Source organism: Homo sapiens, chromosome 7 (genome assembly GCF_000001405.40).
Source record: "Homo sapiens chromosome 7, GRCh38.p14 Primary Assembly".
Lineage (NCBI taxonomy): Eukaryota > Metazoa > Chordata > Mammalia > Primates > Hominidae > Homo > Homo sapiens.
This window is the reverse complement of record NC_000007.14, coordinates 6,009,193-6,025,923: the sequence shown is the minus strand read 5'-3', so window position 1 is coordinate 6,025,923 and position 16,731 is coordinate 6,009,193. Positions and strand designations below refer to the sequence as shown.

The following is a 16,731-nucleotide window of genomic DNA, read 5'->3' as shown; positions in this document are numbered from 1 at the left end:
CTCATGCCTGTAATCCCAGGCATGGGATTTTGGGAGGCAGAGGTGGGAGGATTGCCTGATGTTAGGAGTTCAAGACCAGCCCGGCCAACATGGTGAAACCCCATCTACTAAAAGTACAAAAATTAGCCGGGCGTGGTGGTGCACACCTGTAATCCCACCTCCTTGGGAGGCTGAGGCAGGACAGTCACTTGAACTGGGAGGCGGAGGTTGCAGTGAGCTGAGATCACACCACTGTACTCCAGCCTCGGCGAAAGAGCGAGACTCCGTCTCAATATAAATAGTGAACCCTGTTTCAGTGAATAGTCGAGCTTAGACTCATATTTGTGCAAACAAAATATTTAAACCCATTCTCAGAGTTCCCTGACTGTATCAAGCACTAGGTTGAATACCAGTAGCATGCTTATATTCATTGTCCACGTAAGCAGGTTGACTCCCCACCGCCTGTCTACTCTAAGAGTTACAAGCATTGGGCGTGGTGGCTCACGCCTGTAATCCCAGCACTTTGGGAGGCTGAGGCAGGCGGATCATGAGGTCAGGAGTTCAAGACCAGCCTGACCAACATGGTAAAACCCCATCTCTACTAAAAATACAAAAATTAGCCGGTGTGAGCTACCATGCCCAGCCACAGATGTGGTTCTTGAAACCAAGTATAAACATTTATCTTCATATATGAAGGGGATTTTCTGATGCTCAGTTAAGATAGCTATTAGAGACCATAGTTATTTAGTATTTATGGTAAGGATTTCTACTATCTTGCAAAAGTTTTTTGTATAAAATGAAACCTTGGCTGGGTGTGGTGGCTCACACCTGTAATTCCAGCACTTTGGGAGGTCGAGGCGGGTGGGTCACTTGAGGTAAGGAGTTTGAGACCGGCCTGGCCAACATGGCGAAACCTCATCTCTACTAAAAATACAGAAACTAGCTGGGCTTGTATGAGAGCGCCTGTAATCCCAGCTACTTGGGTGGCTGAGGCACGAGAATAGCTTGAACTGGGGAGGCACAGGTTGCAGTGAGCCAAGATCATGCCACTGTACTCCAGCCTGGGCGACAGAGCGAGACTCTGTCTCAAAAAAAAAAAAAAAAAGTTATTTTAATGGAGTTTAAAATATTTTCTCCTTACAGGTTAACCTCACCCTACAGATGAAGATAATAGAGCAAGAAAAAGAAATTGCAGAACTAAAGAAGCAGCTAAACCTCCTTTCTCAAGACAAAGGGGTGAGGGATGACGGAAAGGATGGGGGCGTGGGATGAAAGTGGACTTAACTTTTAAGGTAGTTAACTGGAATGTAAATTTTTAATCTTTATTAGGGTATAGTTGGTACAATGCTTCGTTGTATTTAGTAAGCCTTTACAAGACTTGTTAAAGATGTCAGAGTGCCCCAAGCTGCCGTTCCTTCCCTTCCTGCCCCACAAGCTCCTTTTCCTGAATTTCCTACCTAAATATTAACCATATGCCTAGTCTCTGAAACTAAAAACTTGGACCTCATCCTCAATTATTTTCTCCTTTCAACTCTGTTGACCCTCTGTCTGGTCTTCCTCTAGAAGGTACCGCAGAAATTGATGTGTGCTCCCTGCCCTCGTCACTGCCCAAGCCCGGGCCTGCACATACTCACTGGACTGTTCCAGTTTTGACAGCTGCCAGTCTTCCTGCCCCTTTCACACTGCAGCTGAAGTTCATTACCTGAAGGACGCCTCATCATTTCATTCCTTGGCTCCAAACCTTCTGCTGCCTCTAAGATAAAAGCTCAACTTCTTAACAGTGTACAGTGTGCAACTTCCAACCTTTTTATCTGTTCTCTCCACCTTCAGTTTAGCGTCATTCCAAAACCACACCCTTGCAAAGCTTTGTACTCCGCACCCCAGATGATCTCCAGGCAGCTCAGATCTCTTTCCTGCCTTTGCCCTGCACTGTTCCCCGGTACTTCCTCCTTTATTGTAGCACTCAGCTCCCCAGCCAATCTGTACATCCCTCAGAGGCAGCGATCTGATGAATTGGTTTTTGAATCCCAGAAAGGGTCTGCCATGGAGTTGGCAGTCATCACGGTAGATGGCGTATGATTTTGCTGAATTTTAAATAAAATGAAAACCATAAATTACATGATGCTTTTATTGACACTTGACAACTGGCCTAAATAAAAAGACTCTGACTCTAATACAAGTCCCCTTACTGATAATAGGCATGAAAGAGCACCATTCTTAAAATCTAAACCCTTTAAAATCAGTTACGGCAATTCACTTAAGGAGCTTGAGGGCCGTGTTAAAAGGAGCCAGGTTTTCACAAGACCTCATCCACCTCTGCACATTGGCTGGCACTGTCACACTGCAGCCTCCGATCTGCTGGAGTACAGACCACAGCACCACGTCTGCTACGGTGAGTTCATTCCCAGCGAGCCAAGGGCTCTTCCCAAGAGCAGAGTTCATGGAGCGGAAAACAGCGGCTTTTTCTTTACTGCTTCCCTCTTTTAACTGAAAAATCGCAATATCTACCCAGCTATCTATAAGGGTTGCGTTGACAGCATTATGCTTCTGGCCAAACAGAGAGAACAAGAAACGTGCAATGTTCCCTTCGCCTTCGATGGGGCACATCGTCTGGATGCTGAATTTCATCTGCGTCTTCGGCACTGAAAAGAAAAAACACGCCAGGTAGCATCACCAGAGCAGCCCTGAGGGAAGTACTCGCACAGTGGGGAAGGGGACAGTCACCAAACACCACAGACTGATGACATGGGAAAGGGTGTTTTCAAGAAGAACATCACATTTTCAGTCTGTCTCTAAGATGCTTACTACTGAAAAGGGTTTAAGTGCAAACTATGTTAAAAAAGTAACCAAAGAGTCATTCCTGGTATTTGATTATGACACTTCTGAAGCTAGAAGGGACCTCAGACCACCTGCTCCAATCCCTGCTGCCTAAGGTTTTGGGGGCTGAGGGCTGGAAACCCAGGAGCTGCATCTCCCAGGCTCTTGGCCTCATAATCGCCTTCTGTGAGACTGAGGGCAATTAAGATATGAATGACATGAACTCGCTTATCTCCATATCAACATAAACCAGAAGAGGCATACATCTGTGGGATAGTCAATACATAACATCCTATCTTTATATGGCCATATGAGAAGATAACTTCAGTGTCCCTATGATGGTAAGTTCTTGAATGTGAGGGCAAGATGGCTGTGATAGCCATGACTCCCCGCTTTGCCTGGTTGGACAGAACCCCCTTCCCCAAATGCTCACAGTCCCCCCCTTGAGCTGTGTCTCACTCAGAGACCCTAAATTTTGCAGACGAACAAGGGCATCTTTGCGTTGCTTCATCTCTGCTCCTCCTCTAGAACTATCCCACAGGCTTTCTAGACTTAGAATATCTGACCTGATGCAAATCGCTATGTGGCCAGTATGCCACAGAATGTCCTAAACCCTTGCTGCCTCTTATCAAAACCATGTTGCACATCTCATCATATAGTACAGCTAACCCTTGAACAGTGGGGGGGTTAGGGACACTGACCCCCGACTGCTGTGCAGTCGAAAATCCACATAAAACTTCTGACTCCTTCAAAACTTAAGCACTAATAGCCTACTATTCATGGGAAGCCTTACCCATCACAGTTGATTAACACGTTTTGTATGGTCTGTATATTATATGCTATATTCTTACAATAAACTTGAGAAAATGTTAAGAAAATAATAAGGATGCTGGGCATGGTGGCTCACACCTGTAGTCCCTGCTGCTTGGGAGGCTGAGGTGGGAGGATCACTTGAGCCCAGAAGGTTGAGGCTGTGGTGAGCTATGATCGCACCACTGCACTCCAGCCTGGGAGACAAAGCAAGACCCTGCCTCTTTAAAAGAAAATGATAATGAATTTACTATTCATTAAGTTGAAGTGGATCATCATGAAGGTCTTCATCCCACTGTCCTCATGTCGCTGAGGAAGAGGGGTTGGTCTTGCTGTCTTGGGTGGAAGAGGTGGAGGAGGTAGAAAGGGAGGCAGGAAAGGACGAGAGGCAAGCACGGTGTAACTTTAGGGAAATACATCATAATTTGTCTGACTTTTTGCCTTTTGATTTCTCTAAAAATAGTTGTGTGCAGCATCAACCCTTCCACTGCTTGCTTTAGTTTCAGTGCTTATATCATAGAAGACTCCAGGTCGTAAAAGAAGTCAAAAGCAGCCTTGAATAATCAGAAGCCTTCTCCCAGACTGTCTAATGGAAATCTGTTTTCCAGCCCGGCTTCTCCTAGGTCTTCTTCCTCAACGTCTGGCACTGGTTTGGAAGCACTTCTCTCCATTAAGCTGTCTTATGTTAATTCTTCTGTGCAGTGTCTGTCAGCCCTTGAATTTCTCCAAGATCTATACCCTGAAACTCTTCACCACCCACTTTTGCCCCATCTATGATCTATTTCATGGTTTCCTTGATTGTCGTAAATCCTATGAAGTCACGCACATCTGGACACAGGTTTCTCCAGGAGGAATGTACTGTTTCACCATGATGGCTTTCACAGCTTTTTATACGATGATGGCCTCTTCAATGATGTAATCCTTCCAGACTCTTCAAGATGTTCTAATCAGGGTTCTCTTTTTTTTTTTTTTTTTTTTTGAGATGGAGTCTTGCTCTGTCACCCAGGCTGGAGTGCAGTGGCGCGATCTCACTACAACCTTCACCTCCTGGGTTCAAGCAATTCTCCTGCCTCAGCCTCCAAAGTAGCTGGAATTACAGGCATGCGCCACCATGCCCAGCCAGGGTTCTCTTTCATAGCACTGACAATTTCATAGAGTACTGTGTGTAATGAGCCTGGGGGCAAGTAGACGACTTTGACGCCCTTGGTGTTAACTCGTGGGGCTCTGAGTGCCTGCAGCATTGAAGAACTTTAAAAAGGTGTACCTTACTGGCAAGGTACATCCTGACTTCAAGGACAAGGCATCAATGGAATTAATCCAGAAAAAGCGTTCTTGTCCAGACGTTGTACAACCAAAAGATCAGCAGCTGTGTTTATCTTTTCCCGTTAAGTCTCAGGTGTTAGCAGTTTTATAGGTAAGAGCTCGCCTGATCATAAACACAGCTGCACCTGCACAAAACAGGACAGTTAGCTTAGCCCTGCGTGCCTTCAATCCTGGGGCTCACTTCCCTTCTTTACTTAATAGATGTCCTTTGTGGTTCCCTCCCATGCCCCCAGATTAGGGCAGTTTTGTCTGCATTAAAAACCTGTTGACACAGGTATCCCATCTCCTCCATGATTTTCTTTATGGCATCTGGGAACTTGTCTGCTGCCTCTTGGTTGGCGGAAGCTGCTTCTCCTGTTATCTTGACATTTTTAAAAGCCAAACCTCTTCCTAAAATTATCAAACCATCATTTGCTGGCATTAAACTCTCCAGCTTTAGATCTTTCACCATCCTTTGGCTTCAAGTTGTCATATAATGACTTTGCTTTTTCTAAAATCTTATGAGAGTCTATAGGTATGCCTAACAGTAATCCTGCACCCCACATAAAAGCTGCATTTTCTTTTCTTTTTTTTTGAGACGGAGTCTGGCTCTGTAGCCCAGGCTGGAGTATAGTGGTGTGATCTCGGCTCACGGCAACCTCCACTTCCTGGGTTCAAGCGATTCTCCTGTCTCAGTCTCCTGAGTAGCTGGGATTACAGGTGAAGGTCACCATGCTGAGCTCATTTTTGTGCCTTTAATAGAGATGGGGTTTCGCCATATTGGTCAGGCTGGTCTTGAACTCCTGATCTCAGGTGATCCACCCACCTCAGCCTCCCAAAGTGCTGGGATTACAGGCATGAACCACCACAACCGGCCAAAATCTACATTTTCAATGTGAGATGAATAGGTATTCTGCAAAAAGTGCAAGGTTTTTGCACCTCCTGGTGCAGCTATAGTGACGCCTTCATGAATTTCCCTTTTTTTTTTTTTTTTTGAGATGGAGTCTCGCTCTGTCGCCAGGCTGGAATGCAGTGGTGCGACTTCAGCTGACTGCAACCTCCACCTCCCAGGTTGAAGCGATTTTCCTGCCTCAGGCTTCCAAGTAGCTGGGACTACAGGCACGCACCACCACGCCCAGCTAATTTTTGTATTTTTAGTAGAGATGGGGTTTCACCATGTTGGCCAGGATAATCTTGATCTCTTAACCTCGTGATCTGCCCTCCTCGTTCTCCCAAAGTTCTGGGATTACAGGCGTGAGCCACTGTGCCCGACCAAATTTCCCTTTTTTTAAACAATGGTTCTTACACTGAATTCATTTATCTTGAAGTGGCAGCTGCAGACTTCTGGTACATATCAAGCAATTCACCTTTCTCATGTAATCTCATGACTTTTCTCTGCTTCTTGGGAACATTTTCAGTATCACAAGAGACACTTTGTAAGTGTCCCACAGTGTTAGTCAAGGTTTATGGCAATGCACGATGGAAAAATAGCCAAGAACCTCAAGAGATCTCTTTTTTTTTTTTTTTTTTTGAGACGGAGTCTTGCTGTGTCGCCCAGGCTGGAGTGCGCTGGCGTGATCTCGGCTCACTGCATCCTCTGCCTCCCGGGTTCACACCATTCTCCTGCCTCAGCCTCCCAAGTAGCTGGGACTACAGGCGCCTGCCACCATGCCTGGCTAATTTTTTTTTTTGTATTTTTTAGTAGAGATGGGGTTTCACCGTGTTAGCCAGGATGGTCTCGATATCCTGACCTCGTGATCTGCCCGCCTCGGCCTCCCAAGAGGTCACTTTTGACTGCAACATGCAATTTCCTGGAGAGATGAATTAGCTGCTCACACCGAGATGATTAGCGTCACAGGGTGTCTGAAGCAGATTGAAGCAGACACTCCCCACGCTGGAGGCGGCTGTGAAATTATTCCAGCAGTACAGTCTGTTTGTTCCACAATTAATGTTACGCAGTTGGGATTTCATGCTCATCTTCACGTTTGTTTACATTTCTCTCAACTGCAAGTGGTGCCATGTATTGTGTGTGTGTGTGTGTGTGTGTAAGGTTTGATACATTTTAACTTTTTAAAATAGATTTGTGTATATTTTGTGTATGTAAATAATAGACTAGTATGTAAATATTTTATGCCTCATATCTTTTTCTTGTTTTGATATTTTTCTTTTTTCTTTCTTTTTTGAGATGGAGTCTCGTTCTGTCGCCCAGGCTGGAATACAATGGCGTGATCTTGGCTCACTGCAACCTCCACCTCCTGGGTTCAAGTGATTCTCCTGCCTCCGCCTCCCGAGTAGCTGGGATTACAGGCGCCTGCTACCACACCCGGCTAAGTTTTGTATTTTTAGTAGAGATGGGGTTTCACCATGTTGGTCAGGCTGGTCTTGAACTCCTGACTTTGTGATCTGCCTGCCTTGGCCTCACAAAGTGCTGGGATTACAGGCGTGAGCCCCTGCGCGTGGCCTTGTTTTGATATTTCTAGGCTATGCGGTTTGTCTGCCAGTTTTTTCAGATTGCTGCAAATCTCCAAAAAATTTTCCAAGATAGTTATTGAAAAAAATCCACATGAGGCCCGGGCCTGGTGGCTCACGCCTGTAATCCCAGCACTTTGGGAGGCTGAGGCAGGTGGATCATGAGGTCAGGAGTTTGAGACCAGCCTGACCAATATAGTGAAACCCCGTCTCTACTAAAAATATAAAAAAAATTAGCTGGGCCTGGTGGTGCGCGCCTGTAATCCCAGCTACTCAGGAGAATGAGGCAGGAGAATCGCTTGAACCCAGGAGGTGGAGGTTGCAGTGGGCCAAGATTGTGCCACTGCACTCCAGCCTGGGTGACAGAGCGAGACTCTGTCTCAAAAAAAAAAAAAAAAAAGAAAAAGAAAAAAATCCACATGTAAATGGACTCATGCAGGTGAAACTCATGGTGTTCAAGGGGCAGCTGTGTGTAAGTTGAACTCAGTCCCGTCTACTTACCATTCTTCCAAATTAAAGTGAATCCCAGCTGATAGTCTTGGCGGGGCTGTTTTTTATTCTGTTCTCCAAAGCACTTGAGAAGGTTTTCAGGCACGCTCTTGACCGAGGAGTGCGTGTGCACCGTGGACAGGACCCTGAAGTGCTCACAGAGCAGCCTGTGCAGCACAAGCAGGGAGAGGGGAGGGGAGGCCGGGTTTGCGTTGATCACGATGTCTTTCAGCGCCCCGTAATCCTGGGGAAAGACCAAGACAATGTACGAATAACAGTCATCGGAGAGTGCCACTGTGCCGGGCGCGAGTCTAAGAACCTAACCAGGGTTATCTAACCGACTCCGCCACTTCCATGAAGACGGCACTAGCGTCATCTCCACGTTGCAGCCAGTAACTTATCCAAGGTCACTCGCTCAGGACGGAGTGGAGCTGGGATATGAGCGGACTCCACCCCCTTACCCCCAACAAATAAAAAGTTGACTCTACTGTCAAATAAAACAACATATGAGGAATGACACTTTTTTTTTTTTTTTGAGACAGAGTCTCACTCTGTCACACAGGCTGGAGTACAGTGGATGATCTCTGCTCACTGCAACCTCTGCCTCCACAGGTTCAAGCGATTCTCCTGCCTCAGCTTCCTAAGTGGCTGGGACTACAGGTGCCTGTCACCATGCCCAGCTAATTTTTTTTTTTTTAATTTTTAGTAGAGATGGGGTTTTGCCATGTTGCCCAGGCTGTTCTCGAACTCCTGACCTCAAATGACCTGTCCGTCTTGGCCTCCCAAAATGCTGGGATTACAGATGGGAGCCATGGTGCCTGGCCTAGGAATGACACTTTTATTTGTCCCTTTTAACCTGCAGTTATTCCAGCTACTCAATCTTTCCAACAGCTGACCACGGCCAATTTGTGTTCATTAAGATGTTTCCATGAAGAACCCCTTAAGAAGGGGTGTTGGCCCAAGATATCATTGATGATGAGGGATGGGGAGATGCTAAAATACTAGGCGTTAACTGAAGTGCTCAGACTGACAGCCTTGTTTATTCCCACTGTGTAACCCTCTTCAGTGCCAGTGGCCCACGGGTACAGAAGCCAGGCAATGGTTCGGGGCCACAGTTTGCTCTGGCATGGGGCACTATGAGAGGTCCAGGGGGATGGGCCTGTCATAATCCAAACCCATGCATGACAGCCTTTTTAGATAAAGACTTTCTTATTCTACGCTTTCACTCGTAATAATGAATGCACTGATGTGAACACTCACGGCCAAACTCCTTGGCTTTCTGTACCCCGCCTGCCACTCCTGACCAATATCCCACACGTCGGCCTAGGCAGAATGCCTTGCAGTTCCCTGAACATATTGTATTACTTGACGCTGGGTCTTCTGAGGTATCAAAATTCATCTTGAGCACCACATGCTCTGAGATACCTCCCCAGCACCCTGAGAAATGACTCAGGGTCTTTTCTCAGTCATTTCAGCCGCGCATGCTCGAAAACTCATCTGCTAGGCTCCGGCTCCCTGAGGGCCTGGTTGCACCTCATCTGAGTCCTCAGTGCATGCCAACAAGTACTGAATGAATGAGGGAGCAGAGGAAGGAATACATGAATGCAGAGGTACTGAGGTTACCAAATATCCCAGCCCTGGGTGAGACACCACAATGCTTGCATTTTTTAGGGCTTTAAGTAGTGCTATTCTATCACCCATTCTAGAGGAGGCTATTGATAGGGATTCTTGGGACAAACCCTTTTGCATCCTCAAATAAATATCACATTGTGGTTAACAAACGAGGTGGTCTTTCTTTGCATATCAGATTCTCCCCTAAATTAGCTGAAGCCTGTAAACTTCAATCATGAGAGCTGGCTGATGCAACTTACTTGTAATACAGCAAACTGAGTTCAAGCAAAACGCATTTGAAATATGAGACTGACTGGCCTAAGCAGTACATTTCAAAAGGATGGGTAGGATTTTTGTACTTGGGCAGTCACAGTTCTGAAAGTTGGCCTGTGATCAGAGAGAGTCCGGGCTGCCTCTGCTGAACCTCTGGGGAACACTGAGCAAGCAAGCTGAGATCTGTTCTTCCAGGGCTCAGAAGCTGCTGGACCCATGCCCGGACTGGCAGAGGCTGTAACTCTCTTCCACTCCTTCTCTACCTACAGATCCTCCCTGTCCTCTACGTGCTCTGAGAAGTCAAGAGGAGGCTTTAGAGCTTGTTTTGACTTCACTCCTGCCCTGGGACTCTGTTCTGTGCAAAGGCACACTCATTTAGAGAAGAAAAAAATATGAACATGCTCTTGGCTCTGCCTTTGAAAACCAGAAAGCTAGTTTTGTTTTTGTTTTGAGACGGAGTCTCGCTCTGTCGCCCAGGCTGGAGTGTAGTGGCGCGATCTCCGCTCACCACAAGCTCTGCTGCCCGGGTTCATGCCATTCTCCTGCCTCAGCCTCCCGAGTAGCTGGGACTACAGGTGCCCGCCACCACGCCCGGCGAATTTTTTGTATTTTTAGTAGAAATGGGGTTTCACCACGTTGGCCAGGATGGTCTCGATCTCCTGACCTCATGATCTGCCCGCCTTGGCTTCCCAAAGTGCTGGAATTACAGGCGTGAGCCACCACGCCCGGCCTGAAAGCTAAGGCTTTAATCACAGCAGCACAATTTCCCTGCACTAACCACTCAGTACCTACTAACGTTTCAGCTTTCAAAACGAACCTACCTTCCCAAGCACTGAATTCAAGTCCAGCGCATTGGTGGTTAAAGTCGTGGGCTCATCCGCTTGGATTATGTTGGTTACATCCAAGTCTGCATCTGGTGTTTGAATCATCTTGGAGAGGCCATCAACTGCAGCTTTCAACTCATACAGACGTTTTAAAATATCATCTTGGCGGGACTCAAGAGCTTGCAGAGACAGGTTAGACTCTTCCTAAACAAACCAACAGCCAAATGTTCATTTCCTCTCCCATCAGACCAGTGTTGTTTAAATTTGATCACTTGTCTTACTTTGCCATGCACTCACCAAACCTCCCACCCTTTAAAAGAAGACATTATGGGCTGGGTGTGGTGGCTCACGCCTGTAATCCCAGCACTTCGGGAGGTCCAGGTAGGCAGATCATCTGACGTCAGGAGTTCAAGACCAGCCTGGCCAACATGGTGAAACCCCGTCTCTACTAGAAATACAAAAATTAGCCTGGCATGGTGGCACGCAACTGTAATCCCAGCTACTCGGGAGGGTGAGGCAGGAGAACCACTTGAACCCAGGAGGTGGAGGTTGCAGTGAGCCGAGATGGCACCACTGCACTCCAGCCTGGGTGACAGAGTGAGACTCCATCTCAAAAAATAAAAATAAAAAAAAATAAAAGAAGACATTATGGGATGCAAGTCTGCAAAGCCTTAATTACAAAGTAAAGAAACAAAAAGGAAAAAGACATTAAAATACAGGAGCAGAAACATCTCATTTTCCCCATAGTCCAATAGGTCCCTGCAAATTGATCCCCAAATGCTTAAAACAAGGCCAGGTGCGGTGGCTCATACCTGTAATCCCAGCACTTTGGGAGGCTTGAGGGCAGGTGGATCACCTGATTTCAAGAGTTTGAGACCAGCCTGGCCAACATGGTGAAACCCTGTTTCTACTAAAAATACAAAAATAAGCCAGGTGTGGTAGTGCATGCCTGTAGTCCCAGCTACTCAGGAGGCTGAGGCAGGAGAATCGCTTGAACCCGGGAGGCGGGGGTTGCAGTGAGCCAAGATCGCACCACTGAACTCCAGCCTGGGCGACAGAGCAAGACACCGTCTCAAAAAAAAAAAAAAAAAAAAAAAAAGCTTCAACAAATAAAAGTTGTGGCTAAAAGCCACTCTGAAATTGTATGGTTCCTATTTCAGGTAATTTAGTCTTAACAACAGGGAAGGATAGAAAATGAACACAATTTGTAGTTCTTTGTTCTTAACAAACTAAGAATACTTTGCTTAAATAAGTAGCAATGAGAATGTAACTGAGTAATTTATACAAATAGGGAAAAGGGAACACAGGTTGAAACACTTTATTTTAGCTTGGAAGCACGTCCATGGGGCCAAGTAATCAATTCCACAAATCATTTTCTTGTCTTTTTTTTTTTGTCCTGGAGACAGGGTCTCACTCTATTGCCCAGGCTGGAGTGCAGGGGTGTGATCATGGCCCACTGCAGCCTTGACTTCCTGGGCTCAAGTGATCCTCCTGCCTTAGTCTCCTGAGTGCCTGGGACTACAAGTGTGTGCCACCAAGCCTGGCTAATTTTTAAATTTTTTTGTAGAGACAAAGAACTGCGCTATGTTGCTCAGGCTGGTCTCAAACTCCTGTCCTCAAGCCATCCTCCCACCTCAGGTCCCAAAGTGCTGGGAAGACAGCCGTGAGCCACCACACGTGGCCAGGCCACCATTCTTCACCTAGCCTATTCCACCTCGCACCCATTCTAGTCCACCCCTGCAAACCATCCTTTAAGATGGCAGCTGGAAAGACTTAAAAAGAAACTCAAGGCTGGGCGCGCTGACTGATGCCTATAATCCTAGCACTTTGGGAGGCCGAGAGGGGCAGATCACCTGAGGTCAGGAGTTCGAGACCAGCCTGGCCAACATGGTGAAACCCCGTCTCTACTAAAAGTACAAAAATTAGCCAGGTGTGGTGTGGGTGCCTGTAATACCAGCTATTCAGGAGGCTGAGGCAGGAGAATCGCTTGAACCCGGGAGGCGGAGGTTGCAGTGAGCAGAGATCACACCACTGCACTCCAGCCTAGGCGGCAGAGTGAGACTGTTTCCAAAAAAAAAAAAAAAAAAAAAAAAATCAGATATTGTCAATGTCTCCCCCTTGCTAACCTGCTAGGTGCTTAGGATAAAATGTCAAACATTTAACATGGCTTCACAGACATTTTGTATCATTTGGCCTCTGGCTACCTTACCTCACCCAATTTCGTCCTTTGCCTGTGCTCTAGCCACACTGTCCGAGGAGTTCCTAAACCACCACCCTGGCTCTGACCACAGATCTTCACATGTGCTGTTCCCTCCATCTGCATCACTCTTCCTTCTTCTCTTGTTTGCTTAACTCCTATTTACCTTCGGGCTTAATCAGCACTTTCTCACCTCTCCTAGTCTGCTGCTCTTATTTAAGATCAAACGTCAGAGAAATGTGAAGTCCACTGACTTCCGGGTGGAACAGAGTTCAGTATGCCAATTAAATTATTGAGTGCTGGCTAGGCACAGTGGCTGATACCTGTAATCTCAGCACTTTGGAAGGGCGAGGCGGGTGGATCACTTGAGGTCAGGAGTTCGAGAGGACAACATGATGAAACTCCATTTCTACTGAAACACAAAAATTAGCTGGGCTTGGTGGGGGGCACCTGTAATCCCAGCTACTGGAGAGGCTAAGGCAGGAGAAAATTGCTTGAACCCGGGAGACAGTGGCTGCAGTGAGCTGAGATTGCGACATTGCACTCCAGACTGGGTGACAGAGTGAGACTCTGTCTCAAAAACAAAAAAAACCTCGGTCAGGAATGAAGAATGTCTGAAGTACTGTATGTGTAACGTGGCTTGTGATTTTTAAGCCCTGAGTGCAGCGTGATCTAGTCCTTCGTGATCTGAGTAATAACAAAATGTTCAAGATCTGTTTTATGTCATTCGTGTCTTCTAATGTTGGCCTGTTGTTTTCCTTGCTGAGACTAGACTGTGATGTGGTATACTGTTTTTCTCCATTAGTTTTAATTTATATGTATTTATAAACAGCTTATTCTTCATGTTGCTTTCATTTACCCTGGAGATACTTGATTGCTTTTTTTCTTTTTTTTTTTTTTGAGACAGGGTTTTACTCTGTTGCCCATGCTGGAGTCCAGTGGCAGGATCACAGCTCAATGCAGCCCTGACCTCCTGGGCTCAAGTGATCCTCCCACCTCAGCCTCCTGAGTAGCTGGAACTACAGGCACATGCTACCACACCTGGCTAAGTTTTGTACTTTTTGTAACAATGGGGTTTCACCATGTTGCCCAGATTGGTTTTGAACTCCTAGGTTCAAGTGATCCTCCTGCCTTGGTCTCCCAAAGTGCTGGGATTACAGACGTGGGCCACTGCGCCTGGCCAAGATGTTTTATGGCTAATTATTTGTCCGCATTGTTATCACCTCCTAGAGAAACTGCTAGAAGAGTGAGATTATGTGTCCTCTAAGTTCACAAAAACCCAAAAGAAGTTAGGCAGCAGACTTAAAAACAAATAAAACAGACTCTGCAAAACTTGGCCTTAAATGAAAGGTGACATTCTCCAACCTGGATTGTCTTTTTGGCTTCATGGGACTGTGCAGTTGGAGGGTGACTGGGCCCTGTTTCCACGGCACTCTCTAGGTGCAGGGACCATTGAACTATGTCTGCTATTTCTGTCTTAGCTCTGTACTGAAATAACAGTTGTGTTATTGGGTTTCAAAAGAAAGTCTGTCCCTCCTGATCTAGGCAGAAAGCCATTAAAGAAAACAGAAGGATAACAAGCAGTGGGAAAACAGACCAGAAAAGTTACCGATTCACCCATCTTGTGTCAGAAATGGACAGGCCTGTTTCTCCTGCTGGAAACCTAGGATGTACGTTTGCAATGAGAAAAGAGTGAAAGACTTGAGCAGGTACATTACAAAAGCACAATCACAGCGGCCAGTGAATATGAAAAGGTCCTCAAGTTAGAGAAGTCTGGAGAAATCCAAACTAAAACTACCTTAGGATACCACGCTACACCCACCAGCTTTGGGCAGGGTGCAAACATCAGGAATTCTTCTACCCTGCTGGTGAGCGGTGAGCGAGCGCATAAACCAGTATAACTTTGGAAAACAATTTAATAGAGTGGAAAGCCAGGCGGGCCGCTGAGCCAGCAGTCCCATTCATTAGTACATACCCCATGCCTGCTCCTCTGTATAAGAGTATTCACTGCAGGACTGTTCATAGCAAGTTAAAATGGAAAACAATCCAGTGTCCCTGAGCAAGCAGGATGGATAAGTATATGGTGGAGAGTCATGCAATAGAACGGTATAGTACAGAGATGATGAATACTTCTGATATTACAATAAAATGACTCCTAAAATAATATCTACGAAAAAGAAGCCAGGGCTGGGACCCAGTGGCTCATGTTTGTAATCCCAGCACTTTGGGAGGCTGGGGTTAGAGGATCGCCTGTGGCCAGGAGATTGAGACCACCTTGGGTCTCCATAACCACCTTTTATGTAGAGATGTGGTAAGACCTCATCTCTACATTAAAAAAAAAAAAACACCCAGACACATCAGACTATACGCTGTATGCTTACCTATATGAAGACTATTGTTTAGGGGCCGGGCACGGTGGCTCACACCTGTAATCCCAACACTTTGGGAGGTCGAGGCGGGTGGATCTCTTGAGGTCAGGAGTTCGAGATCAGCCTGGCCAACATGGTGAAACCCCGTCTCTACCAAAAATAGAAAAATTAGCCGGGTCCAGTGGACAGCGCCTGTAATCTCAGCTACTCAGGAGGCTGAGGCAGAGAATTGCTTCAACCTGGGAGGCAGAGGTTGCAGTGAGCTAAAATCACACCACTGCACTCCAGCCTGGGTGATAGAGTGAGACTCCATCTGAAAAAAACAAAAAAAAAAACAAAAAACCAGACTATATTGTTTAGGGATAAATAGTTGACAAAATAATAGAGACAAGCAAGACATAATTACCATAAAAATCAGGACCTGGGGTTGGGGGTGGAGAGGGAAGGTTTAAGTGGAAAGAATGGAGTGGTGACAATGTGTGTCAACCTGGGCCATGGTGACCCTGGGGTTCGCTTTGTAATTCCTCAAAATGAGCATTTATGTGCTATTCACTTTTCAGAGGGTAGAATCTCTGAACCAAAATGTTTAAGCAACCATATATTAAAAAAAGAAAAAATATGGACAGATTTGTATTTTAATTAAAACATTTAAAAAATAGAGACAAGGGTCTCGCTATGTTGCTGAGAGTGGTCTCAAACTCTTGGGATTCAATTGATCCTCCCGCCTCAGTCTCCCAAAGCGCTGAGACTCCAGGCGTGAACCACCGCGCCCGACCTGGAAAGATACATACATATATATATATATATATTTTTTTTTTTTTTTTTTTTTTTTTTGAGATAGAGTTTAGCTCTTGTTGCCCAGGCTCGAGTGCAATGGCTCGATCTCAGCTCACTGCAAACTCCGCCTCCAGGGTTCAAACGATTCTCCTGCCTCAGCCTCCCGAGTAGCTGGGATTACAGGCGCCTCACCACACCCGGCCAATTTCTGTATTTTTAGTAGAGACGAGGTTTTACCATGTTGGCCAGGCTAGTCTCGAACTCCTGACCTCAGGTGATCCGCCCGCCTCGGCCTCCCAAAGTGCTGGGATTACAGGCGTGAGCCACGGCGCCCGGCCTGGATAAATCTTTTAAAACATAAAAGTCTGAGTGAGTCCCTGGCCGGCCGGCACAGATGCCGGGGTGGGGCCGTGAACCGGTTGGGACGCGCTCGCTCCGGCCTGGGGGGACCCGGGCCAGCAGCCGGTCGCCGCGCGTGCGCACTGGGCGGGGGGCCCCGCGCTCCTACCTGCACGTGGCCAGCGCCCGGCGCTGGGCCGTAGCTCCTGCCGTGCACGTTGGGGAGCCGGTACATGCAGGTGGGAAGCTCCACACGGAGAGGCGCGCCGCCCCCGTGATAGGGCTTTACCTGGTACATCGGCATGGCAGAACCAAAGCAAAAGGGGGTAGCGCGTGCCAAAGGCCAACGCTCAGAAACCGTCAGAGGTCACGACGGAGACCGGCCACCTCCCTTCTGACCCTGCTGCGGGCGTTCGGGAAAACGCAGTCCGGTGTGCTCTGATTGGCCCAGGCTCTTTGACGTCACGAAGTCGAC

At 46.8% G+C, this 16,731-nt stretch overlaps 2 protein-coding genes and 1 non-coding gene across 15 annotated transcripts in view, besides 2 other annotated features; 1 reads left to right on the top strand and 2 right to left on the bottom strand.

Moving 5' to 3' along the window:
- The window catches only part of EIF2AK1 (eukaryotic translation initiation factor 2 alpha kinase 1), a 36,929-nt gene extending 33,252 nt beyond the window's left edge, over positions 1 to 3,677 (top strand). For all 3 annotated transcript variants that reach the window (NM_001134335.2, NM_014413.4, XM_047420200.1), the window contains one exon: positions 1,123 to 3,677. In NM_001134335.2, the coding sequence (NP_001127807.1) occupies positions 1,123 to 1,251 (129 nt within the window). In that variant the 3' untranslated portion in view covers positions 1,252 to 3,677. The remainder of the gene's footprint in view (positions 1 to 1,122) is intronic.
- On the bottom strand, positions 2,090 to 16,652 carry AIMP2 (aminoacyl tRNA synthetase complex interacting multifunctional protein 2). 11 transcript variants are annotated; one of them, NM_001326609.2, is made up of 5 exons: positions 16,426 to 16,652; positions 13,095 to 13,180; positions 10,572 to 10,778; positions 7,879 to 8,110; positions 2,090 to 2,621 (listed from the first exon to the last, which is right to left on the bottom strand). In NM_001326609.2, the coding sequence occupies exons 3-5, from the start codon at positions 10,677 to 10,679 to the stop codon at positions 2,233 to 2,235; spliced, it is 729 nt and encodes a 242-aa protein (NP_001313538.1). In that variant the 5' UTR covers positions 10,680 to 10,778; positions 13,095 to 13,180; positions 16,426 to 16,652; the 3' UTR covers positions 2,090 to 2,232. The 11 variants fall into 11 exon arrangements, with proteins under 11 accessions (NP_001313538.1, NP_001313540.1, XP_047276791.1 ...); NM_001326611.3 differs by lacking the exon at positions 13,095 to 13,180 and adding an exon at positions 15,153 to 15,290 and having other exon boundaries at positions 16,546 to 16,652; XM_047420835.1 differs by lacking the exon at positions 13,095 to 13,180 and adding an exon at positions 14,747 to 14,826 and having other exon boundaries at positions 16,546 to 16,652.
- SNORA80D (small nucleolar RNA, H/ACA box 80D) lies at positions 8,913 to 9,047 on the bottom strand. The gene has a single exon (NR_145771.1). It is a non-coding gene; the product is annotated as a small nucleolar RNA, H/ACA box 80D (small nucleolar RNA).
- Positions 9,999 to 10,098: an enhancer, noted in NCBI's record as "active region_25615". NCBI's record gives its function as "activates an Ori minimal core promoter by ATAC-STARR-seq in GM12878 lymphoblastoid cells {active_cell/tissue: GM12878}" and the evidence as "EXISTENCE:reporter gene assay evidence [ECO:0000049][PMID:35858748]".
- Positions 16,284 to 16,443: a silencer, noted in NCBI's record as "silent region_17931". NCBI's record gives its function as "represses an Ori minimal core promoter by ATAC-STARR-seq in GM12878 lymphoblastoid cells {active_cell/tissue: GM12878}" and the evidence as "EXISTENCE:reporter gene assay evidence [ECO:0000049][PMID:35858748]".